The 27,178-nt window shown below is 36.3% G+C and overlaps 1 long non-coding RNA gene across 2 annotated transcripts in view; it reads left to right on the plus strand.

The window, feature by feature from the left end:
• Positions 1–27,178, plus strand: part of LOC105373436 (uncharacterized) — a 330,895-nt gene that overhangs the window by 281,414 nt on the left and 22,303 nt on the right. Inside the window, exons 3-5 of one of the 2 annotated variants that reach the window (XR_001739292.2) lie at positions 2,629–2,817; positions 8,214–8,354; positions 9,412–9,765. This is a non-coding gene — a long non-coding RNA (uncharacterized LOC105373436). Of the gene's footprint in view, positions 1–2,628; positions 2,818–8,213; positions 8,355–9,411; positions 9,766–27,178 lie in introns of those variants that run through there. The other variant, XR_001739293.2, reaches the window with a different exon arrangement.

Consider the following 27,178-nt stretch of genomic DNA (forward strand, 5'->3'; position numbering starts at 1 on the left):
CTCCTTTTGTCTCTTGTGTGGATTTCACACTATTGGGCACTATTATGTTAAAAGCACTCTACTAAGTGCTGCATGGACACTAGTGAATTAGATACAGATCCAGCCCTCATGGACCTGTCCATCTCACAGGGCAAATAGTATTTATGCAGATAATTATGTAGGTGATTATTTAGCTGTAATTCTAATAAGATTTATAAAATAAGAGTCCAAAGTAAAACCAGAGCTTGCAATTTAAGAGTGAACAATATCTTAGTAAGTAGTGAAAAAAGTACTAAGAGGGAGTGGCATTTGAAAGACTTAAAAGTTGGCAGGAGTGTAGAGGAATCATGCAGGAGAAGCCCACAGAAAACCTGGGGTTCAAGGTCCTTCAGAAGGGAGATGGTTTTTGATGCACCAAATGAAGAAGCCAACAAAACCAGAGTTGACCAGTGTGAGGTAGGGAGGTGTGCTGAATGAAAGTAGTGAGAAGGAGGAAACAGATTAAGGAGTTTTGAGTACCTAAAAGGTATTGGATTTGATATAAGAGAAGTTGAAGGTTTTGACTGAGAGTAATGTGTGAATTGTTGGTCTGGAGAAGGCATGATCAGATTTTTTCTTCCTTTTATCACTTTTGTTTCCACCTTGATTATAGATTAGATCTGGGGAGAAACAAATAGGAAGGAGATTTTGATTAGGGGAAAATTGTAGTGCTCTAGGTAAGGCATAATTTTTGCTTTTAAATTATCAAAGTGTTATGGAAATTAGAAAAAAAATTCACTCTAAGAACTTTTTTATCCAAAATTTTTTTGGCCATATATCTTTATAATTTTTATATTTTCATAATTTTATTATACTTACTACACTTATTTAATCTACTTGAGTCAATTAAATTATGTCGTATTTTATAATGTGAGTAAATAAATGCCACAATTATTATTTTGATTTTTCTATAATCTTGGAATTATATCACTCTAGGCACATATACTTACTGCTTACTGAACATTTCTACTTAGATATATAAAAGACCTTTCAAAGCAACTGTATTCGAAACTAAACTCTTGATTCCTTCCCTCACTCCAAAGCCATTTTTTTCATGTTTTCTCATCTCAGAAAATACTAAGTCCATCCTACTCTTTGTTCAAACTAAATATCTTGTGGTCATCATCTAGAATCCGATCATTTCTCACCATCAATACCACTACTACCTATTTCTCTTGATTGACTTGTTTATTGCAATATTCTCCTTAATAGTCTTCCCTTGAAGGAGGACGAATAAATAGGACAATTATTTACCAACAAAAAGCTGCTATGTAACATTCTTCTCTTTGCTTTTCCAGACACACTACCTATGGCAAGGGTCTAACCAATTTACTCATCATACATAGAAAGTTAGTATCAGGAATAAGACTGAAAAGAGTATTCTATTTCTTATTTCTAGTATTGTGTTCTTTGAGCTTTATCATCTTCACAATTTAAAATAAAACAAAGAAAAGCTTAGCCACATTACTAGTGACACCTAGGCACAGCAATATGAAGTGAGGCCATTATCTAGTGCTTATTTTTCAATCTAATGGGAGTCAAGACAATGAAGAGTTATTAATTCCCTGTGTAACTTTTCTTTCTCATCCGTCTGCACTATTCAGTTGGGTTAGGTGACCTATTAGGCCTTTGCCATTTATTATAACTTTCTATGATTTACAATAATTCTCAACTGCATTTGATCCATTTTCCTTTAAATTTTTGATTAATATAGGCCAAATAATGTGGCATTGAAATTAGTGGAATGGCATTGAAATTTTATTAAATGCTCCTAGACTTCAAAAGTATTTTTTTTACTATGAAATAGTTAGATTTATTTAGGATCTAAGAGAATGCTGTGAAGAAATGAACTTTTTTCATAATATTGCCAGCAAAGGAGAGTTATATTTATCTCTTCCATCATAATTCTACCCGATTTCAGATGCCCATCATCAACTAAACCTTGAATTGAATGGTGACATCTAAATTATCAACGTTAATTTTTTATGGAAAGATAGATTTTAATGAATCATATATTTTTAAGCTAAGGATCATAAATTAAGAACAGAGATTTTAAGTCTGACAGTTCTTAACTGTTTTCTATACAAGCATAGTCTTAGTAAAATTTTGTAATGTCTAAATCGTGTTTATTTCCTGAGAACCTATATCCTAAGGTGTTCTGTGAATTAAATAGACACTATATGTAAATTGCATCATGCAGTGGGATTGTTTAATTCTTGGAAATTACTAGCGGCATTAGTCTTAGGAGGTAAATAAAATCAAAGCTTTTCTGAAGAAAAAACTGAAAAGGTTTTCTGCTGTGAGTCAAAAAATTATAATGGATTCAATAGTAAGCTTGTCCTTTTCTCTGTATTTTTCCTTTTCTATTTACATGGTATAATTTCACTCTTTGAGCCACCTCACTTACTCAGAGGCCTTCTGATTCAAAGGTAGACTTCAACATCTAGCCAAGTGCCCGGTATGCGATGGGTGACAAAGACATATTTTTAAATGAAAAATTTCAAACCATACACCATGTACTCCTTTTCAAAGTGTTTCTTTTTAAGTCATTTCACTGGATTTAAATCCTATTAACCCTACTTTCATATTATGCTTTCTATGTTTCCTTAGGGTTGTAGGATTTTTCTTCTCAGTCACTTTGCAAGCCAGGGACCCTCGATCGATGACGCCCCGCCCGGGCCTTGCTCTGCCACGCTGCATGCCCCAGCTCGCCTGTGTGATAGCTTGTACCCACGTTCAGTGGTTCCTGAGCTTTTGCACCCTGCCCAAGAAGAATGAGGATATGCTGGACATTGAAGGGTGAGGAGGGGGGAGAAGAATTTTATTGAGTGAAGGAACAGCTCTCAGCAGAGAGGGGAGGCAGAGGGTGGTTCCCCTAACTAAAGGTGGGAAAGTCTCCTGTGTGGCTGGGTCCAAGGCCTTTTATGGACCCAGAATGGGGAGTGCATGCTGATTGGTTTGTGAGTATGCAAAAAAGATTAGCGCAAAGATAAAAGATACCACTCAAAGGTGGGCACGACAGTGTAGAAAAACCAATTCGGAAAGGGTAGCTATATGTTAAATAAGCGAAGGGTGGGGACCAATCAGAGGAAAGTGCTCCGATCGGGAAGACAGGTTCTCAATCCCATCCAAGGACTTAACCTGTAGCATTGCTTTCAGGCTTTAAACTGTCTTTGGCTCGAAGGTGGGGTTACAGAGGGGACCCGCCTCTATCTGCCTAGACATTTGGTTGCCGCCTGCTGCTCTCATTAGTTCTTTTCTTACATCCACACTTTCTTCCTATTTAAATTCCTCTGTGTCTCTTAATGCAAACAATGATGGAATGCATAGTAGTGAATTGCCTAGACGCTGAAACCAAAGGGTCTTCAGATGAAAGTCCTATCAATTTCAAGTCAAGTGAGCTATTCAACAATTTTGTGCTACAGTTCCCTCATCAACAAATGAGGATAATCATTATGCCATTATCATGAGTAAGTTTTGAGGAGTAAACACATATAAATTAATTTTTTCAAATGCACAACCTTATATAAAACTAGCATTCACAATTATGGCTATTTCTGTTATTGAGTTGCACCATTGTAATATTTTATCTTCCTGATTATTAGTCTTCTTGAAAGATTAAATTCCAGTAGCAATGTATACATTCTTTCCTTCAGAACATATTTACTTATTACTACTTATAATGCTGTAACGGGCACTATATCTGCAGAATTGAATAGTTCACGATTCCTCATACTGAAAGGCTTCACAGTCATAGGCAAGGGTAAATTTGTTGGAGAGAAACAGATAATTCAATATCATAACCACTTCCTTAGAAACAAAAACCAACAAACAAAAGAAGAAAACTTTAAGGACAAACCTACAAAATAATTGCAAAACTACTATACCAATTTATATAACTGCAGATTTTATAAGGAGTGGAATTATATTTATCGTGTTTTTAAAGTTTGTATATTTTTGTATAATAAGCTCAATTTCATTTATCACCAGCAATAAATTATCCAAACTATTCTTCACTGAATTCTGCAAACCACTTTTCCTCCCTTTTCACCGTCTCCCTTTTTACCCTACACACAAGACACCCATTCCTATGATTCTCGGATATTTCTCTCCACCTTAAGCTATTCTCATATCCCTTCTTTTTCTCTCTTCAAAACCCAGGTCAATATTTTTTAATCATCCTCACAATAATGTCAGTTTGATCCTTTTCACCCACATAGCAACTGTGTATTCTGAGAAAGTATGTAACATTATGAATAATCATTTTGTTCATGTGTTTAGCCCAATCAGATTGTGAAATCCTACAAGTCAGAAACATTGTGCACTTCAATTTTGTTTGCCCACTAGCGCTGCTTCCCGTTCTCCACCACAGAGCCAAGCATAATAAACACTCAGCAACTATTAGTAGATGACAAAAAAAACCTTTACAAACAGACAAATGAATGAAAAAAAGTAGTCATTGCGCTTCAATTACTTCCTGTAAAATGTTAGTACCACACCAAATCCCATAACAGGAAGTGAGTGGGGAGACGGAGTACAGGAAGAATTGTTAGACAATTTTTGAAAGCACATTGCCTTGCATTCCTGCCGTATATTCACAATAAACCTGAGTAAACTGAAGGCTCTGAGAAATACTGAGTTCAAGGACCTAGCATTTTCTTTCTTTCTTTGATTATTGACTCTCCTGCAATATTATACATTTAATTATACATTAAAGACAATGTATAATTCAGATATATTAATTATTGCAAAATATAATGTATAATTAATATATATTTAATTAAATGTATTCATTCAATATACATTAATAGAACCACATTTGAGAAACATGAGTATACTCCTTTAAAATATTTTTTGTTTGGTTTATTTTGATAATGGGTACATAGTAATAGAATTACAAAATTATTAAAAATAATGTTCTTTTAATAAATTAGAAAGACACATATGGGTTATTTTATATATATATATAAAGCTATATATGCTTATGTGGATATATACACATACGTATGTTCATATGTTATGTGTGTATACATTACATATATATATATATATATATATATATATATATATACACACACACACACACACAATTTTAATTTTGAGAAATATAAAATTGCATGGTCTGGATCCGTAGGATGAAGTGACTGCATGTCTTTAAATAGGACTATACAAAAGCTCATGTAAGATGTCCTTTCAGATTTGATATTCTGATTGAAGAACATCAATAGTCTTTAATTACCGCTTGGTAATCATGAAGCCTTAGGGTTTTTTCAATTTCACTTTTATCACATATTTAATTAATGAACATCACAGCATTTTAAGTTACGTTAATTTAAATTTTATTTTATTTCTCAGTTGTATTATCTAAATTATAAGGAAAATAAAAACAAAAACAGAATGTTGTAATAGATATATCATTGCTTTGGGTGATTAAAACACACACACACACACACACACATACACACAACACACATACACATTTATAATCTTCTTTCAGTCACTAGCCAATATGTGAACTTTATGAAGTCCCCTTATCCAGTAACAAGAAGCACAAGTGCCACAGTAGCAGTATTAAAAGGGATGGTCATGTTTCCTTTAGTATCTCCTTCCTTCAAACTTATGCACATACCACAGCTTTGTTGATGTCCCTTAGTCAAAGATTTCCAGAAACACAGATACAGTCAAACTAAGGTGAGTTTATTGACTTGTTGCAATGAGGGAGAGAATACACCATTGGAAACTTGAGGTTTCTCAGAAAAAAGAAAAAAGAAATAAATACCTACTAAAGGTGTGGGGAAAGCTTTAGATGGTCTTTGAGAGAGTTTAACAAAAAGAGAGTTTTGCTCTTAATTAAGTATGCTCTACGAGCCCAGGGTTTTTGTGCTTCCACATCTTTAATAATCTTATGTAAATGGCAAAAGGAACAAGACAGATCAAAAGCTATACATGTTTTATAAAGCAGCAGTATTTTTACAATGATTAGTGATTTTGTGAATTTTTTATTGTTTTTTTTGGTCACTTGGATGTCTTCTTTTGAGAAGAATCTGTTATGTCCTTTGCCTATTTTTAATGGAGTTCTTTGGTTTTTGCTTGTTGATTTCTTTAAGTTCCTTATAAATTCAGAATATTGACCTTGGTGGGATGCACAGTTTGCAAATATTTTCTCCCATTCTGTAGGTTGTCTCTCTCTCTCTCTCTCTCCATATATATATATATCCATATATATATATATCCATATATATATATCCATATATATATATATCCATATATATATATATCCATATATATATATCCATATATATATATATCCATATATATATATATCCATATATATATATATCCATATATATATATCCATATATATATATCCATATATATATCCATATATATATATCCATATATATATCCATATATATATATCCATATATATATCCATATATATATATCCATATATATATCCATATATATATATCTCCATATATATATCCATATATATATCCATATATATATCCATATATATATATATCATATATATAATTGCTGTGCAGAAGCTCCTTAATTTAATTAGGTCATACTTGTCAATTTTTGTTTTTGTTGCAATTTGCTTTGGAGGACTTAGCCAAGTATTCCTTGCCAAGGCCAATGTTGAGAAGGGTATTTTCTATGTTGTCTCTAAGAATGTTATAGTTTCAGAACTTAATTTAGATCTTTAATCCATCTTGAGTTAATTTTTGTATATGCTGAAAGGTAGGGGTCCAGTTTGATTCCTCTGCATATGGCTAGCCTGTTATCCCCGCATATTTATTGAATAGAAACTCCTTCCCCTATTGCTTGCTTTTGTTAGTATTGTCAAAAATCCAGATAGTTGCAAGTGTACAGCTTTATTTCCAGGTTTTCTACTCTGTTTCATTGGTCTATGTGTCTGTTTTTATACCAGTACTATGCAGTTTTGGTTACTGTATCCTTGTAGTATAGTTTGAAGTCAAGTAGTTTGATGCCTCTGTCTTTGTTTGTTTTTCTTAGGATTGCTTTAGCTCTTCAGGCTCCTTTTTGGCTCTATATGAATTTTAGAATGGTCTTTTTCTAATTATGTGAAAAATGACATTGTAGTTTGATAGGAATAGTATCAAATCTGTCAACAAAATGCAAGTCATAACCACAATGAGATATCATCTCACACCAGTCAGAATGGCTATTACTAAAAAGGCAAAATGTAATAGATGCTGGAGAGGCTGCAGAGGAAATGAAACACATGTGCTTTTCTTGGGAATGTAAATTAGCTCAGCCACTATGGAAAGCAGTTTGGAGGTTTCAAAAAGAACTTAAAACAGATACCATTTGACTCATCAACTCTATTACTGGGTACATACCCAAAGGGAAATAAATTGCTCTACCCAAAAGACACATGAACTTGCATGTTTATCATAGTAATATTCACAATAACAAAGACAGAATTGACTCAAGTGGTCATCAGTGGTGGATTGGATATAGAAAAAGTGGTTATGTATATACCACAGAATACTATGCAGCCAGAAAAAGAATAAAATCATGTATTTTGCAGCCATATGGATGCAGCTAGAGGCCATAATCCTAAGCTAATTAAAGCAGAAATAGAAAACCAAATGCCACATGGTGTCACTTATAAGTGAAAGCTAAACATTGAGTACACATGGACATAAAGATGGGAGAAAGCAACACTGTGGACTACTAGATGGGGACAGAAAGGAGGAGAGCTTGGGTTAAAAAACTATGTACCCAGTTCTGTGCTCACTACTTGGGTGACAAGATTCATACCCCAAATGTCAGCATTACACAGATACCTACATAAAAAACCTGTGCATGTACCCTTGAATTTATAATAAAAGTTGAAATTATTTTTACAAAACCAACATTTAACAAAATTATGGCAGTACAATATGTATGTGCATGTGTGTGTATGTGTGTGTCTGTATACACACACCCACACAATTGCATAGGTGGCTTCTATTTTGAATCCTGTGTCTTCAAAACCAGAAGAAATAAATGAACATGTTTATATTAATAACAACTACAACAACAACAAAAAGCCAGCTTTGGTTGCTCATATTAGCCATGAAAGGAAATGTTTGATCATTAGGGAGTTTAGGGTAATGCTTTGGCATTTATCAAAAATGATTACAGAATGGTCTGTTTTGTTTCGTTCTATCACGTCACAGGGTGGCCTTGTTTGATGTTGCTGTTTTATGAAATTACACTATCCATGTACAACATAAGGAAAATGTGACCCAGCTGAGAGCGCCAGGCCAGATTCTGGCAACACCGATGTCTGGATGTCAGTGCCAAACCAGCTCCCTGATGTGAGGCTCTGCTTTTTTTTTTTTCTCTCTCTCTCTGTTTTTCTGTTTCAACACATCACACTACGTTATATCTTGCATTAAAATTGCAATGTATGCCTGCCTCTTTCACTAGACTGAGACCCTAGAGAGCTGCTACTTGTATTTTTTCTCCTTTATATTACCTGTGACATATAGTCTTATAACTTCTGGTAGTAGGTGCTAAGAAATTGTTTATTCGAATAGAAATGAACTCAAAGATAGCTCTTTCTTTTATGGTCCTGAAAAACTGTAGACCAACTGTGATAATTAAACAACCATCAGGTTTAAAGGGACCATAGTAATCTGCATGAGACCATGCTCATTCTGACACCAAGTATAAATTCTAGGGATTTCCAAAACTACTCTTAGGTCTGAAAATTTACTAGAAAGACTCAAAGAATTCACTGAAAGCTGTTATTTCATAGATATAGCTTATTGCAGGGAAATGATACAGAAATAAAACCAGTCAATGGAAGAGACACACGGGGCAGAGTCCAAGAGACATGCTAGGCACTGAACTTCTGAGGTTCTCTCCCTGCTAGCATGCTGGTTAAGTATGTGTGACAAAACTCACAGAGTATTATCAACCAAGGACACTCACTTGAATGTTGAGTTTATAGTTTTTATTGTGACTTCATTATATAGGCATTATTGATTGATTGGTTGACTGACTGATGTACATATGGTTGATCTCAGTCTTTAGATCAGTTGATAGTTTATTATTCAAAGCCCGCACCCTAATCATATTTTTGGTATTTCTGGCATTTCTATTCCTTACCCTAAAGTATGGTCAACTCCAGTTCTATATCACAGTTACTGTCTGGCTACTCCAAGACCCTCAGGCAAACAAAGATTATCTTCCAGGAGCCAAGAGCAAAATCCAAATTCTTTTGGGGCAAGGTTAAATTTCTTAGCACACAGGTTTTCATATCAAATTCTTACGATGAATATTATTCTATCATAATAGGTCTTTCTATGTTCTGAAGTATCTTATCCTAATAGTATGCCAAAATAATGTCTAACTTTAGCAAAATCATAGTTCACAGGTAAATTGATCAGGAATAGTTCTGAAAAGTGTACTGCAGTTGAAGAAAGCACTATCTAGAGAGACGAAGACAATCATTCAGGTCTGAACATTTCTATTGTATGTCATTCTCACTTTCTCGCTTTCATTTTCCTCTTCTGCCCATAACATCAACTTTTAGCCATTCATCTTCTTTCTTTCTTGAGTAAAAAATTATGAGAATTTATCCCTTATTAACAGTGACTGTCTTTCTTTTTTAATTTTTAGTCTGTATGAGTACATAGTACGTGTATATATTTATGCGGTGAATGAGATATTGTGATACAGGTATACAATGTGTAAGAATCACCTCTGTGTAAATGGGTTATCCATCACCTCAAACATTTATAATTTCTTTGTGTTACACACATTCCAATTATATTCTTTTAGTTATTTTTAAATGCACAATAATATTTGACTGTAGTCACCCTGTTGTGCTATCAAATACTAAATCTTATTCATTCTATCTAACTATAATTTTGTACACATTTGCCATCTGCATTTCCCCCACACACACCGCTATCTTTCCCAGTCTCTGGTAAACCATCATTTTACTCTCTATATTCATGAGTTCAGTTGTTTTAATTTTTAGTTCACAGAAATGAGTGAGAACATATGAAGTTTGTCTTTCTGTGCCTGGCATATTTCATTTAACACAATGCCCTCCAGTTCAATCCATGGTGTTGCAAGTCACAGGATCTCATTCTTTTTTTATGGCTGAATAGTACTTCATTGGGTACCACATTTTCTTTATTTGTTCATCTGTTGAAGGACACCTAAGTTGCTTCTAAATTTTGGCTATGGTGAATAGTGCTGCAATAAACATGGGAGTGCAGATACCTCCTTGATATACTAATTTTCTTACTTTTGGTTTTATACCTAACAGTGGGATTACAGGATCCTACGGTAGTTTGATTTTCCATTTTCAGAGGAGCCTCTATACTGTTCTCCCTAGTGGCTGTACTAATTTACATTCTTATCAAAAGTGTACGAGGGTCCTCTTTTCTTCACATCCTCACCAGCATTTATTATTGCCTGTCCTTTGGATAAAAGCTATTTTAACTGGAGTAAGACAATATGTCATTATAGTTTTGATTTGCATTTCTCTGATGATCAGTGATGTTGAGCACGTTTTCCTACATCTGTTTGCCATTTCTTTGTCTTTTGAGAAATGTCTCTTTAGGTATTTTGCCCATTTTTTAAATTGGATTATTAGATTTTATTCTATAGAGTTGTTTGAGCTCCTTATATAATCTGGGCATAAAGACCTTATCAGATGGAGAGTCTGCAAATATTTTCTCTCATTCTTTGATTGTCTTTTTACTTCGTTGTTTCCTTTGCTGTGTAGCTTTTTAACTTGATGTGATTCCATTTGCCAATTTTTGTTTTGGTTGCCTGTGCTTGTGGGATATTACTTAATAAATCATTACCCAGACTAATGTCTTAGAGAATTTCCCTTATGTTTTCTTTTAGTAGTTTCATAACTTGAGGTCTTAGATTTAAGTCACTAGTCTATTTTTATTTGATTTTTGTACATAGCAAGGATAGGGATCTAGTTTTCTTCTTCCACATATGGATAGCTTTTCGTCCCCAATGTATGCTCTTGTCAACTTCATTGAAAATGAGTTCCTTGTAGAAGTATGGATTTGTTTCTGGGTTCTCTATTCTGTTCCATTGCTCTATGTGTCTAGTGCCTGGAATGTGGCTTCAGGACTCTACTTGGTGGTTTATTTTCCTATGGCTGAACTGGTGTCCAAATTGCAAGACAAAGTTCTCTTTACTATCTTCTCTCCTTTACTCAAGAAAAAAAAGTCTCTGCTGAAGCTGCAAGCTATGTTGCCTGAAGTTGGGGAAAGGTTGATGCAGGCACTCCCTTAGCCACCGCAGCTGGAATTTTACTGGATCATGTGCACCCCAAGCTCACTGGCCTGAGCCCAGCACAGCAACAGGTCTTGCCCAGCAATTTCAGTCTTTGTGGCCTATGCTGCCTTTCAAGTTTATTTGGGACTGCAGGGCACTTTAGCCTGCAGTGGTGGGACTAGCCAGAATTTACTTTCTGACTGCTGGGATAGCTGAGTCCCCTCTGGCTAGAGCTTGTCTAAATGCTCCCTCCATGGGCGCCATTTGAATTCTGCCCCATATTTGTTTTTCACTGTGCCGGCAACATTAGGTTCCAATGCAACGCCTCACAATCACTGCACTGTCACCCCCCAAAGCACACAGATTCTCTCTTTCAGCCATGAGGCCACTGCAGAGGGAAGGGAGAGTGGTGATGGAGGCAATTCAGGACTGTCTTTTCTACCCTCTTCAGTGCCTCTTCGCTTATATGATGTGAAAACCAGGTAGTTATCGTTTACCTGATTTTTCGTTCTTATGAAGGTGATTTCTTGTGTGAATAGTTGTTTAATCGGTGTTTCTGTTGGGGGTGAGTGGTGGGAGGGGCTGATCACTGAAGGTTTCTATTTAGCCATCTTGCTCTAACTCCTCCTTGACTGTTTTTCTTGAAAGTGATGCTTTTTTTGAAAATCGCATGTGGTCATTCCATAACACTAAAACAGCCCAAGTGCATTATGGGTTTTTTTCTTAGTCTTGATCAAGCATATTTTGCTACATTAGCATGAGATTGGTGGCTGCCCTTATTTATAGGTGTTCCCTGTTTTCTCTGTATTTCTCCATCATGGCATTCTAATCTCTGAATGGAAGATTTCCATCTAGCTGGACTGGACATGAGCTTTTGGATGTGTCTGTGCAATGCATTGGCTTTCATTCATGAGACTAGGTACTATTGTCTATTGTGTTTGGGTGTGAATGTGTATGTAGGAGGTAGAATGGGAAAGTAGTTGCTCCAAAAACCTGGAAGTAGTATAACATTATTTCATTGACCATTTGTTAATATGTAGTAATTTCCAGTTGCTGTAGTGCTACTGTGGTTGAGATAGAAATATATGAGGCATAATCCTTAGTTCAGGACACTACGGTTATATATCTGCAATTTGAAAAACCAAGTTTACCAGGCTTTATTTTTGCAGAAGACTTTTAATTTTTCGTGACTCAATCAAGCTTTAGACATTATATTTAAAATTAATAGATTTTAAATGAAAGGGCAAAAATTAGGCAGTGGAAAATGAAACTCTCCTGAGCACTTCCATGTTTTTCTAAAATAAGAACAGATTTTTAGATAAACTGTCCTTTCCTGAGGCCAATTCAGGATTTTTTTTTTTTTTTTGGCACCCAACATTACTTAGTATTGCACATCAATGGCAGTTTCTCTGAAACTTTTCTCAATTTCTTACTGAAATACTGCTACACTTTGGTGATTTTAAAACTCCAATATGTACTTCATGTCAAATTATATCAATGCAATGAAGTTAGACACATTCATCAAAAGTTTTAAGAATATCAACACAGTAAAGATAAGTCATGAATTTAAATTTGTGATTAAATATTATCAGAGGAGCCAAATGGTATTTCCAGTTAATAATCCTCAGGCAGAATTTTCAATAGACAAGTTGTCTCTACTAAGAGGCTGCATGATGAATGAAATGAACAGAATATAGAACTTGAGTCTGTTTGAGTTCAAGGTCTTACAATTACCAAGTATATGAATTGGCAAAGGAATCATTAAACTCTCAAAGTTACCTCTAGTGTTACTTTAAAGTTCATGATAAAAATGAATAAATATTTGTGAATTACTTTCAGAAGTGCTAAATATTTTATTGCTATTTTAATTGCCTCAGTATAATTTTCATCGATTTTAAAATGATGAGTCCTACGTATAAAGGTGGGCTTAAATAGGAGGGAGGTCTGACTGGTTTAGTTGGAATAAAATTATCATTGCTTATAAAATTAACATGTAATATAAATTGTCATTGAATGAAATGGTGAATAACAGTGAATGTGTTCTTAAAGCAGTAAAAGAAGTGATTAATTTAATTGTTCTCTACTATTCCCAAAAAGAAGTATATCAGAAATGATTGCAGGAAGCATTAATTTTTACCTTAATTAGATATATTGAGGATGCAAAAATTTCTGAGAGAAGATCTTATGTTTTCTCACCACAAAAATGAAAATTATGCAAGGTAATGCATATATTGATTAGCTTGATATAGTCAGTCCACAACGGATATGCGTTTCAAAACATTATGGTGTAGATTATATATATAATTATATTTTATCCGTACAATTATATATAATTTTATATGTCAATTAAAAAATAAACTCAATGGTAAGAAAACATTTTTTATTTTACATTTTCACTTTCTAAATTCTAAAGAAAATTTCTTTGGCTAGTCTTACAAAACAACAGAAGAGTTAAGATTTAAAAACCTTAAAAATTAATGAGACTCATTTTATTCCTTAAGGGTATCGTGTGTTTTGTGTTACTGATGACAAGGATAGGGTGCAGAAAATTCACCTTGTATATAATTTCATTTGAAAAGCATTTCTGTTGGGGGCTGGCCATAAAGAGACCAGTTGTCACCAAAAGATTATTTAGTTGGAGAATACAATGATATACAATAGATGAATATCGATCTTTAGGTAAAGAGGATAATCCAAAGCCACAAAAAAGGAAATTAAAAGAAATTAGAAGGATAAAGGGCAGGTTAGTGGAACAGAATTTGAGCATTAAAAACAGTGGTCTATTTTATAACTGTGTACTACACCATCACTTATATGTGAATGACCCTATAAGTTAGTCTAGTTCTCTCTGGAGTGTTCCATATCTGTATGGAATTACTTGCTAGGCATCTACAACATGAAGCCAAGGGAACTTCATTCATTTTCAGAACTGACATCATTATCTCACTCCCATAACCTACTCTGCATCCTGCATTAACTAGCTTTGTAAATTTCACCAGTTATTTATTCAATAAATAGTTATTGATCACTAAATTATGCTAGGCACTCTGGTAAACTTACAAATAGTAGGTTATTAAGATAAGTGAATTTGCAAGTTCACTTAAGAGCTTAACAGGTTACATACACCATGCTGTACTTGGGAAGTGAGAAGACAGAAAGTCATTTTATTTGCTTTATTTTCATCATCTGCAGAATTCAATTAGGCTACAGGTTCTTTAATATTTGTTAATTAAATTAAAAAACACTTATAATTTGATAGGTACCTATCTCCTTCTTTGTTTACCATTATTTCCTTCAGGTCACCATTGACTCTCACCTAGGTGACTACAACAATCTCCACACTGATCACCCTGTTTTTATTATTAAAACCTCCAAATAGCTCTGCCTTCTTATTGTTAAAATAATCTTTCTGTCATAAAAATACTGTTATGCCACAACACTGCCTAAAATCATTAAATAGCTCTCCATTAACAAGATTAGGTCTTAAATTCTTTTGTTGGACAAAAATGATCTTGCCTATCAAATTAGTACTAATGCTCAATCTATACTTTACAGAAATATCAAGTTACTTGTTCAAAAACACAGTTGTATTTATTTCTCCCATATCTTGAATTTTCCATATGTTTTTGCCTCTTCTCAGAATTCTATCTTCAGGTCTTCATATCTGGGCAAAATGTCTTCAACTTTCAAGTCTCAGATTGAAAGTCTTTGGATTTTGAAGCCTTCCTATATTCTGCCAGAAAAATTATTATACTGTTTCCTCTACTTTCTCTATCTCATTTACTGGCTCTTACGCATTTTTTTTTAAAAAGATTGTTTATTCTTCTGTCTACTAAGTAGCCTGTATCATGATTCACTCATTTATTTTCTTCACTTTCTATACTTTTCCATTTGTCTGAAATGTATTTGGAGTGATCAACTTTCTCATGTCTTGAGATAAAAAATTATACAGGCCTTTGTGTATCTCCAGTTCATAGCACAGTGCTTGATATATGTAAGGTGCAAATAAAACACTTTTGAAATAAAATAGAAAAGGACAGAAAGAATGAAAAAATGTAAGATAAAACCCTCAGATCTAGAGAGTCAGTAATACTTTAAATATTAATAACTCAAAATATAACACCTACTGAGGGTTTATTACATATTTTTGGTCACTAGCAACTGATATCATATGACTAGTAATTATTAGAGTGAAAATCTGAATATGAGCAACCTGAGCTGAGAATGATATATGTAATAGAAATGAATATACTTGTTGAATATGTGTGTGTGTGTGTGTGTGTGTGTGTGTGTTAAACTCTAAAAGTGGCCTTTAGTTGGTTTGGTTTGTTTTGTCATTCGTCTGATTTCCTTGAAAATAATAATCTGTATAGTTTACTAATTAAACCTTAGTGATCATCCTTGATGACAAAAGATAAATGATGAAAGAGAATCATCAGATGTTGTGATCTATGATTTTTTTCAGGCCTCTCCCAGATGTCTTGCCTTTGTAAGTTCAATTCATCTTCCTAAGAAATCATTGAGGGAGGAATCACGACTCCCATCTCACAGATGGAAGTGGGTGGAGGCCCAAATAAGAACACCTACCTAGCATTTACATCTGTTTTGTGGGCCAGAAAACACACATTGGTCTAAGGCCTTATGGCATAAGAAGAAGGAGTCACTCTTAAGTGCATTAAGTAGCCTAGGTGATACAGGAGAAATTGCTTTAAGAAATTTTCATGGCGAAGCATTACAGAACCATCCAACAATCTTTAGCATGAGTTTACTTTCTTCCCCAATGAAAACAGTCAGAATTCGGCAAATTAAGCATTCTTAATGGTGGCATATTTCTGGATGATTTACGAGTGTCTTTTAAGAAATAATATGGCATATATTTGAATCCAATAATAGACACATGTTTCATCTTGATTAACTGATTCTACCCAGAAGGAATAAAAATGACTATAATAAGCTGACTACCCAATGCAGCAATAAATCTCAGGCTTAGCCATAATGCAGAACTAACAAATGAAGCACCATTCTTTACATCCCCATGATATTAGAATGTAATAAGAACATTTTCTCTCTGTAATGTGGCTTAGCATGGAATGAATGTGATGAAACCTACTGCCTCTGTGCTTTAGAAACTGGTCATCTAGTCAATGAATTCTTACTGACTACTACTTTGTGCCAAACTCTGTGTAAGAATCAGGGGACACAAAGGCAATGAGCATGGCCACTTCCCTCTCAGGAGCTCACAGTTTAGTGAAGAAGAAAAGAAGTTAGGCAAGGAAATAAATCACAGTGTTAACGATTGTCATAGAGGTAGACAACATCATGAAAACACAGATTAGTAAGCCCTTTTCGTATCACTCACTAGGCACCATCCTTTATAGGGTATCTTATTTTTGCTTGCTGTAATTCACAGCGAAATTATGCAAAGTAAGTATAATTCCATAATTCTCAAATAAGAACATTGGGACTTGGATTAAACAGTTGGAGAAGCTGGGATTTAAACCAATCTATGTAGCTTCAAAAATGAATTTTTAGGGGGCACACTGCCTCTCAGGAACCAATTCATAAGTCTCATGTTTACAATGTACTTTCGCACATATTATAGTATCATTTCTAAGTTTTAATACTGTGGTCATGTTACTACCAACTCCTCCACTCTATATCTTTGTGACTTTGGCTGTGTTACTAAACATCTCCGTGCTTCAGTTTCCTCATTTGTAAAATATGGATAATAACAGTAGCTACTTCATAGTGTTGTTGGAGAGAATAAATGAATTATCTGTTGTAGATCAGAGGTTGGGAAACATTGTTTTGTAAAGGGCCAGAGGGTAATACTTTGGGATTTGCTGGTGATATCATCTCTGTAACATCTATTCTGTTCTGCTGTTGTAGCACAAGATTAGCAATAGACAGTCTGCCTATTGGGTGTTGTTATATTGCAATGAAACTTTATTTGCAAAAACAAGTAGGGGGCCGAATTCAGCCTTTGGGTCTTAGTTTGCCATATCCTGCTATAAAGTATATGCTGAATAAGTATTAGCTAATATTATTATTACTAATATTAATTTTAAGCTAGAAAAACTGAGATGCTAAGTGCCTTATCCAGAGTCAAACATGTTGTATATTTATTAGGGCAGAAGCTAGTATCCAGTCTTCCAAATTCAAATCCAGTGGTATCTCCTTAAAAATCCCTTCAAGAGTATTTGCACATGTACCCTAAAACTTAAAGTATAATAATAATAAAAGAAAGAAAGAAAAAAAAAAGAGTATTTGCTAACTCCAGTGACCTTTCTGATGTGTCTGTTGAGTGTATCTCAACATCACAGTACGTTTCATGAGGAATAAGTGCATCTTTTCCATTTCAGGCCCCAAGTACTTACTTACTGAGGTAGAAGAATAGGGGTTTTAGATGGAATAACTAACATATTGATAATGAAAGTAGGATCCTTGATTTTTGCTGTCTCTGGAGATGGCTATTCAGAAGAACTATAAACAAAGTTATTGTTATAGCTTTGACTTTCATTTGCAATTAATCTTCAATTAATATATCATCAAGTAAGCATAACCTGGACATTCTGACCTTTCCTGCTTCTAAGACTCTAAACTTTGTGGGAAATGCTTGAAACCTCCGTTGATCTTTTGTTATTTTACCCTCTTTCAAGATGTGTTACAAACCCCACTACTGCAGGCATGCCTGGCCATTCCTGGGAGCACTGATGTCAATTATTGCTCTGATACTGTTGACTCTTTCACATTTAGTTTTACTATTTACAAAGCCCCTAAGGCCTTTTAAGTACTTTATCTCTTAGACATAACTCACTCTATCAAGGTTAGTTATTTTATGCAGATTCCAGGGCCTCAAATGATAGAATGGAACAGGGTCTGGATTTGCCTCTAAATATTTCTGGGATCAAATCCAGACTGCATGCAATTAACTCTATAACCATGGGCAATTTGGAGGACTTCTCTGATCTTGCTTCTTTGTCTCTAAAGTTGAAATAATACGTATGTTTTAGTGTTAAGAATGCATAAGACAAATGCTAAGAAACTCCAGTATGCTTGCAGCCTACTTTTTTTCTCACCATATATTCCTTTTTTTTTCTACTTTGTTTTCTTAACCTGCCTTGCTGAGGGTAAGCCTTTGGAATTTGTTCATTGATGAATACATTACTAGAGAATTGGTCATCATTTGAAGAATTGGTATACTTCTTGATGTTCATTTAAAAGTGAGTTTTAAAAAACTTTTTTTATATACTTTGTCTATTTTAGCCAAAATAATTTGGTTTTGTTTTACATATATTTTAAGATAAATTTTAAAATTCATTCTATTTTCTTGATACCATGCAATTTTTATACATATCATTTTATGTACAGCAAACCTGTATTGTTTGAGTCTTTATGACTAAATAAATAGATTCCCCAAGTTCATCTATTCTATTTATTTATTGTTGCGCATTTTCAAAGTAATTTTACATCTGCCTTCAGAAAGAGTCATGAACCAAGACAAGGACCTATCAATCAGATTTTGTCACAAGGAAATACACTGATGGAATTATAGTGATTATGGAACCATGCACTGTAAAAGTAGAACTTGGGTCTTCTGACTCTCAGTTCCTAAAATATGCCACTATCTGTTGTCACTGTAGGCACAAGTCAAGGAAAACCTAAAGAAGGGAAAGCAGGAGATATGCGTTGCAAAGATAAGAGCTGGGCTAAGTGATATGTATGATGAAATTCGGTTTTCAAGCCCCACCCCATACTGAGCAGCTTCAGTTTTCCTGAGGTGATACATTTTGAGATCAAAGATAGGATATTTGAAGAAAGCACAACTAAGAAATACAGATTTCAGACAGGTAGATCATTTTGTTACATTTTACTACAAATTATATAACTGCTTCACTTCAGAAACACAGACATCAATTCCCACTGACACCTGAGAGCTACTTCTAATATGAAGAAATATTGCTAACATGTGAATTTATATGCCAACATTGTCTTACTCCTTGAGACAGGTATTATTATTATTATCCTTTCTTTATAGATAATCAAATTGAGACATAAATAGTTTAAATGAGTTTCCCAGGATTATATCTGGATCTGGTAGCTGATATAACTGGGATTTGAACATAAACATTCTATCTCTTGGGCCGGTGGCCTTAGCTACTACAATATTCTAATCCTCTAGTAAGGTCCTTTGTTATTCAGAATATTTAATTATCTGTTGCTGGATTTTTGACTTGTTAAATTACTTAGTAGACAGTGAGTCTCTAAACTATGCTCTCTTTTTCCAAATAGCTGAGAGTCTCCCAGTTAGCTTAGGTCTCTGTGAAGAGATAATGGTCTCTCACAGAGGAAATGGTGTTAAATGTAGTAAGCTAGCATTTATAAGTTGGAAGGAAAGTGTTCATATTACTTCCATATCCTTCTAAAAATGATCAAACTGCTTGAATGGATATGGCTGAAGGCACTGAAAGAAAAATGACATATAGGAAAGCAACCTAGCTTCATAGGACATGGTGTCATCAGGTGTTTTAGCTTTGTGACTTCACTATGTTATGTGATCCTAGGCCTCAGAGCAGGAACAGGGCTGTGGAAGCCGATTGGGTGGGGGTGTCTATTCTGGGTTTCAATTACTTCTCTTTCAGTCCTAAAATTTTTGAAATAACAGAGTTTATTTCTTCAAATGTATAATGGCGATAATAATGGAGTGTTTGAATTGATAAAAGAAAACTGTCTGTTACAGATATCTGTGCCTGGCATTTATTAGGTGGTTGATAATGTTGTATATACATGCATAGATATAATATACACATATTCTCAAACTTCTCCAGGAGGTAAAACAGGCTCCACTCAATTGATGGTTAAAACCAGGAGTGCTAGCATCAAACTAACCCGGGTTTGGAGCTTGGTTCTTCCACTGTCTATTTGTGTGACATTGGGCCAGTTATTCATCCACTCCTATTTTAAGATGAGGAAATTAATATCACTTACCACCTTCACCATCAAATGAAAATGTCTGTAATGGTTGGAATAGTTTGTAATGCCCAGAAAGTGAAATGTGTAGTCTCTATTTGTCACTTATATCTATATATTTTTTAAAAATCACATTTTAGAGTTGCTGGTTCCCACCCATTGATTTGTGTGTTCCAAATATTCTTCCCCCAAAATGTCTGAAAATCCCAAGATGTCCTAGGTAAGATGAAGATAATTCATTTAGAAATCTATAGGACCAAAAGGAGGAGAGAATATGGTCCAGCTCATCTCATGGGCAACCAACCTTTAGGCAGATCTCAGCCTCTCTGCTTCTCTATGCCCTACTATAAGAGACACCCAGGTTCATTGCCTTTCTTACTATGCTGCTTTTTTTCATTTTCTTTAGAGTCTGTTTATCTCTGGGTCTTTAATTATCTGTCTTTTGTGCTGCTGCTGAACTCTGATTTAATGTATCACTTCATCTACGTTAGAAATTCTCAAACTATCTATGGTGCAGGGCCAGTGAGTTTGTTTTCTAATTTATAGCTACAATTGTTTCCTTTATTGTCTCATAGTTATAGAGGCTAAAAATCTGAAATTCAAGTGTTGTCACGGTCCTACTCCCTCTGAAACAGAGCGCGGAGTCTTCCTTGTTCTCCAGTATCTGGTGTCCTATTGGCAGTCCCTGGCATTCTTTGGTTACAGCTGCAGTACTTTAATGTCCGCCTCTGTCGTCACTTTGCATTCTCCCTGTGTACCTTTGTATTCACATGACATTCATCTCTGTGTTCAATTTCCCCTGTTCTTAGAAGAACACTGCTGTGGATTGGCTGTTCCCAACCAAATCTCACCTTGAATTGTAATCCCTATAATCCCCATGTGTCAAGGGTGGGACCAGGTGGAGGTGATTGGATCATGGGGGTGATCTACCCTATGCTGTTCTTGTGATAATGAGCGAGTCTCATGAGATCTGATGGTTTTACAAGCATCTGGCATTTCCCCTGCTTGCACTTACTCCATCCTGCTACCTTGAGAAGAAGGTGCCTACCACTCTTTTGCTTTCTGCCATGATTGTAAGTTTCCTGAGGCCTCCCCAACCATGCAGAACTGTCAATTAAACCTCTTTCCTTTATAAATTACGCAGTCTCAGCTACCTCTTGATAGCAGCATGAGAATGAACTAATACAAACACGAGTCCTGTTGGATGAGGGTCCACCCTAATGACTTCATCTTCACCTGATTACATGGGCAAAGATCCTATCTTCAAATAAGATCACATTGTGAGGTACTGGAGTCAGGAATGGAACAAATCTTTTGGGGGAAAAATTCAACTCATAAGTAGCAAACAGATCATGTTTTTCTATATCCTACCCAAGGAGACAAGGCTAGTGCTCAGGTGCTTGAATATCACAGCAATGAAAATGGTTATTCAAAGCTTAAACATTGTCTATTTCTGCCTTACATCACCATTATTCATAGTTTGTAGACCAACGCCTCAACGATGCTATAGGGAGCTCTGCTTTGAGTGACAAACCGATAGGAATGTGAAGGTTAGTTGGTGAATTCTGCTTTGGAGCCATGAGGTTGGACACTTTTAAAGGTTGTGCCTATTCAATGTATGCCAGCAGGACCGATGGGGCTCTGATAAGTCCTCCTACCTTACTGTTCCATCTCAGCATTGCTCTTCCCTTTATTTTCATCTAGGTAACTCTTGTTTATTTTCTATAACTCAAATTTGATTTCCCCTAATGCCCAACTCAGTCTAATTAAGATGTGTTTCCTCCCTATCCCCAGAGCAGCCTAGCATGCTTCCATGCTAGCAAAGCACTACATTTATTGATCAACGTGTCCCATTTTGCCTTAACACAATGAATTAATGCCCCCTGAAGAGAAGATTGATTTCTTATTCTACCTGTTCTCACTAGTGTCCTTCTAGTGCCTGCTTCATGTTGTGTGTATTTCCTTACATTAATACATGAATAAACGAATGCATTCTCTATCCTGGCAAAAGCGCTGCTTATCACATTGGAGTCTCCTTTTTACCAGATGTTAGAGCTCTCATGACAATACCAAATTTAGGATAGTTAATTTTTAGAGTCTGACTGAACATGAGACTTCCAACAAAATAATAATGACCACTGAACACCTTTCAAGTGATGTTTAAATAGATTGTATTTCTCAAGGTTGATTATCTTTCTGTCCTGTAAGATGCACTAGTGTTCATATTGTATTTGAGAGATATGCTGTACCAAGCTGTAAATGTCCAATTACATATTGTGAAAGCAACCACTTATGTACTTCATTTAGTATTTAAACAATCATCCTAACAGGAAAGTAACGATTGTTAAATCTGTCCACAGTTTTGGAGGGGATGTATTTTTGAGGTTTTTCATTTTTAGTGCACCGACTAGAGATCAATTTACCTTTATCGTAGGAAATAATTCTAAAACCCCATTGAAACTCTGAATTCACTTATAGATATGATAATTTCTCATGTCAGTGATTCTTAACCCAAAAGTCCTTGTAGAATTGTCCAGAGGATGAGAACTTGAAATCATGGTGCCTTGAAAACAATTGGCATTTAATTAATATCTGTAGAGTAGTACTGAAATGAATGTAATAGACTCGCCTACACCCTCATTAGACTTTCTTTTTTCTAAAATCAATTTGTCATCATTTTTGATAAAGACGTTCTTTTCAGAAAGTTGCATTCTAAATTTGTATGTTACCAAAATCATTCTATTCACTCTTTTCAAGGGGCAATTACGAGTCATTAAGGGACTAAAGAATGTACTATTAATCAAGTCAGAGATTGGTTGATTTATCATTGTCAGTTTCAGGTCCATGTTCATCAAGTTTTCCTTTCAAAGATCACTGGGAAAAGTGATCTTATGGTTTTAAACGGCACAGTAAAATTTTTGCCTAGAGATCAAAGGGAATTAACTTCTACTGATGGGTTTCATCCCATCAGGACCATCAGGACATATGATGGACATGCATGAGTATCAGCAGACATTTTTTAGGTTCAGTTGTCCTCTCCAGAGAATACAGGGATTAGAGAAAAAGAAGCTTGATGAGGGAAAGAACGAAAGTAATATTACTTTCTTTTGTCAAGAAGCTTGCTACTTCTGGTAATGCTAACAATTCTATTTTGCTTGTCAGGAATTTTGTGCTTTGCTACTCTTAATTTTGTGTAATAACCATGTCAAATAAAATCAGTAAAAATGTACAGTCATTGTGGCTTCATTTACATACTACTTCAATTCATGAATTATTTTGCAATGCTCTTTAATAGAGGAACAAAAGTTTGTAAATCACAAAGTAGATTACTAGTGGCTATTTTCTCAATTTTTCATTAATTCTTCACCTATGTCCTGTTTTTTCTCATTCACCTGCAAGTCTGAAGACCAAATGTTCTTTGCTTTCAGTAGTATAAGCAGTGCCAGTGGAATAATACTCTGCTGAGTAGCAGGGGTTTGTTTTGAAATCCACTTAACTCTGGGTTAAGAGGATTTCAAGAAAGCAATCATAAGAAAAAAGGAGAAGAGAAGCAATGCAGTTCTGCGAAACTTTTTTTCTCATCTCCACTTCTAAAACGCTACTCAATGTGTGAATAATTTCTCCTTTCCAATACTGTACCCCCTGCTTTGCTTGACCACCTTCCTGCCAATTCTGGCTCTCCTGTCACTTGAAAATTGCTATGTGGTCTGGGCACAGTGGCTCACGCCTGTAATCCCAGAACTCTGGGAGGCCGAGGCGGGTGGATCACTTGAGGTCAGAAGTTAGAGACCAGTCTGGCCAACATGGTGAAACCCCATCTCTACTAAAAATATAGAAATTAGCCAGGCGTGGTGGCAGGTGCCTGTAATTCCAGCTACTCAGAAGGGTGACACAAGACAATCGCTTGAACGTGGGAGACGAAGGTTGCAGTGAGCCGAGATCATGCCACTGCACTCCAGCCTGGGCAACAGAGCGAGACTCTGTCTCAAAAAAAAAAAGAAAAAAATTGCCAAGTGAAAATCAACTTTTATTGCTGCCAATTCACTGTGTGTGTGTATGTGTGTCTGTGTCTGTGTGTGTACATGTGCCTTTTAGGATCATTCTGGCTTTTTTTGAAGTGAATGCTATTCCTCTGTAATTATGTGTTCTTTCTCTGTCTTTCTGCTTCCTTTGGAAGAGATAGAGAAGGGAATGATCACGGGAAGCTTTAGGCTCCACAAGTCTAGCCTGACTCATACAGTAGTACAGGTGGAGGCTCCTGCAAGAAAGCCTGGTCATGAGCACAAACAGTGCTTAGATTCAACCTACATTTCTCTTGTCAAATTTTACACCTGGGATTGTTTGCAAGAATTGTGTGTGCATTCATGTATCTGAAAGTATACACCCAGAATAGATAGCCCCTTATTGTTCTAATTGGTGCAAAGTCACCATATAAGATAGCAGTGAACCTCAGTGACGTCCTAAGGAGAAATTCTAAATGATGCAAGTTAAATACTTTCAGTCTCCTGATTCTACTGGCATAACGATTTAAATAATCTTACCTGTGCCCTATTTATAGTTTTTTTGTGATAGTAAAAAAAATCATTTTTATTATGTTAATAACCTCATGTAATTCATATTTTTGATTTTTATCATTTATATATTTCAATATAGGCTCCTAGAATTTAGTAAACAGATTCTGTCACCTGAAATGAACACTATGCATGTCAGGCATGTAATTAGAGCATTGTTCCGTTTCAATTTATGAAGATATTCCTTTTTTAATGTCATCAAATGTAAAGACTGCTTTAACTACACTTCCAGATATATTTACCTAGAACATTATTGATTTGATTTGACTTCTCTAAAAATGATAGTATTCAGTTCAGTTGACTGTTAAAAAAAAACCTTCCAAATAAACTCCTAAAGTAGAAATGTTTGGATTCTTATGGTATGTGGCTTATACATTCACAGTTATATATATGAAGAAGCTTGGATACAATCAGTTGCAAGAGGCAATTTTTTTTTTCCTTTCATTAGTTCAAAATGCCTAATTGTTTTAACTTAATATAAACACTTAGGTTGAAATTTAGGTGTTGTCTCTTGGTAGTTGTGTGACACTGTGTCCGGAATTGGTGAGTTCTTGGTGTCACTGACTTCAAGAATAAAACCGCGGACCCTCGTGGTGAGTGTTACACTTCTTAAAGATGGTATGTCCGAAGTTTGTTCCTTCTGATGTTCTGACATCTTCAGAGTTTCTTCCTGCTGGCAGGCTCGTGGTTTCGCTGGCCTCAGTGAAGCTACATACTTTCAGGATGAGTGTTACAGCTCATAAAGGCAGTGCAGATTCAAACAGTGAGCAGCAACAAGATTTGTTGCAAAGAACAAACTTCTATACTCTGGAAGAGAACCCAAGCAGGTTGTGTCTGTTGACGCAGGCAGCCTGCTTTTATTCTCTTATCTGGCCCCACCCACATCCTGCTGATTGGTCCATTTTACAGAGAGCCGATTGGTCTGTTTTACAGAGCGCTGATTGGTCCGTTTTGACAGGGTGCTGATTGGTGTGTTTACAATCCCTGAGCTCAAGACAAAAGTTCTCCACCTCCCCACTAGATTAGCTAGATACAGAGTGCTGACTGGTGTATTTACAAACCCTGAGCTAGACACAGAGTGCTGATTGGTGCATTTACAAACCTTGAGCTAGATACAGAGTGTCCATTGGTGTATTCACAATCCCTTAGCTAGACATAAAGATTCTCCAAGTTCCCACCAGACTCAGGAGCCCAGCTAGCTTCACCCAGTGGATCCCGCCCAGACCCGGGCTGCAGGTGGAGCTGCCTGCCAGTTCCCCGCCGCTGCGTCAGCACTCCTCAGCCTTTCAGCGGTCTGTCGATGGGACTGGGAGGCGTGGAGCAGGGGGCGGCGCTCCTAGGGGAAGCCGGGCCGCGCAGGAGCCCACGGCGGTGGGCTGGGCGGGGTGGGGCGGGAGGGGAGGCTCAGGCATGGCGGGCTGCAGGTCCTGAGCCCTGCCCGGCGGGGAGGCAGCTAAGGCCCGGCGAAAAATCGAGCGCAGCAGCTGCTGGCCCAGGTGCTAAGCTCTTCACAGCCCAGGGACGGAGGGGCCAGCCGGCTGCTCCGAGTGCAGGGCCCCCGAGCCCACGCCCAGCCGGAACTCGCGCTGGCCCGCGAGCGCCGCGCGCAGCCCCGCTTCCCGCCTGCGCCTCTCCCTCCACACCTCCCCGCAAGCTGAGGGAGCCGGCTCCGGCCTTGGCCAGCCCAGAAAGGGGCTCCTACAGTGCAGCGGCGGGCTGAAGGGCTCCTCAAGAGCGGCCAGAGTGGGCGCGGAGGCCGAGGAGGCGCCGAGAGCGAGCGAGCGAGGGCTGCAAGGGCTGCCAGCAGGCTGTCACCTCTCAGTACTGACTTAATTAACTTCATCAAGCCTTCAATTCATCATTACAAGTAAGTCTCAGTTATGGCATGGATCATAAAGATACCTATATGAAAAGAAATATTCATTGTTTATTTGAAATATGTTTAACTTTCCCTTCTGTATTTTTCGCAAATGACAGCAAATTATTTATTTATTTATTTCCAGGGTATATATGCACAGTTTGCCGGTTTGTTACATAGTGTCATTGTGGCTTGCTGCATGTATCAACCCATCACCTAGGTATTAAACTAGCATGCATTAGCTCTTTTCCCTAATGCTCTCCTCACCCCAGCACTCTGCCAACAGGTCCCAGCGTGTGTTGTTCCCCTTTCTGTGTCCATGTGTTCTCATTGCTCAGCTCCCACTTACAAGTGAGAACATGCAGTGTTTTCTTTTCTGTTCATGTGTTACTTCGCTGAGGCTAATGGCTTCCAGCTTCCTCTACCTCCCTGCAAAGGACATGATCTCATTCCTTGTTATGGCTGCACACATTTTCTTTATCCA

Source organism: Homo sapiens, chromosome 2 (assembly GCF_000001405.40).
Source record: "Homo sapiens chromosome 2, GRCh38.p14 Primary Assembly".
NCBI lineage: Eukaryota > Metazoa > Chordata > Mammalia > Primates > Hominidae > Homo > Homo sapiens.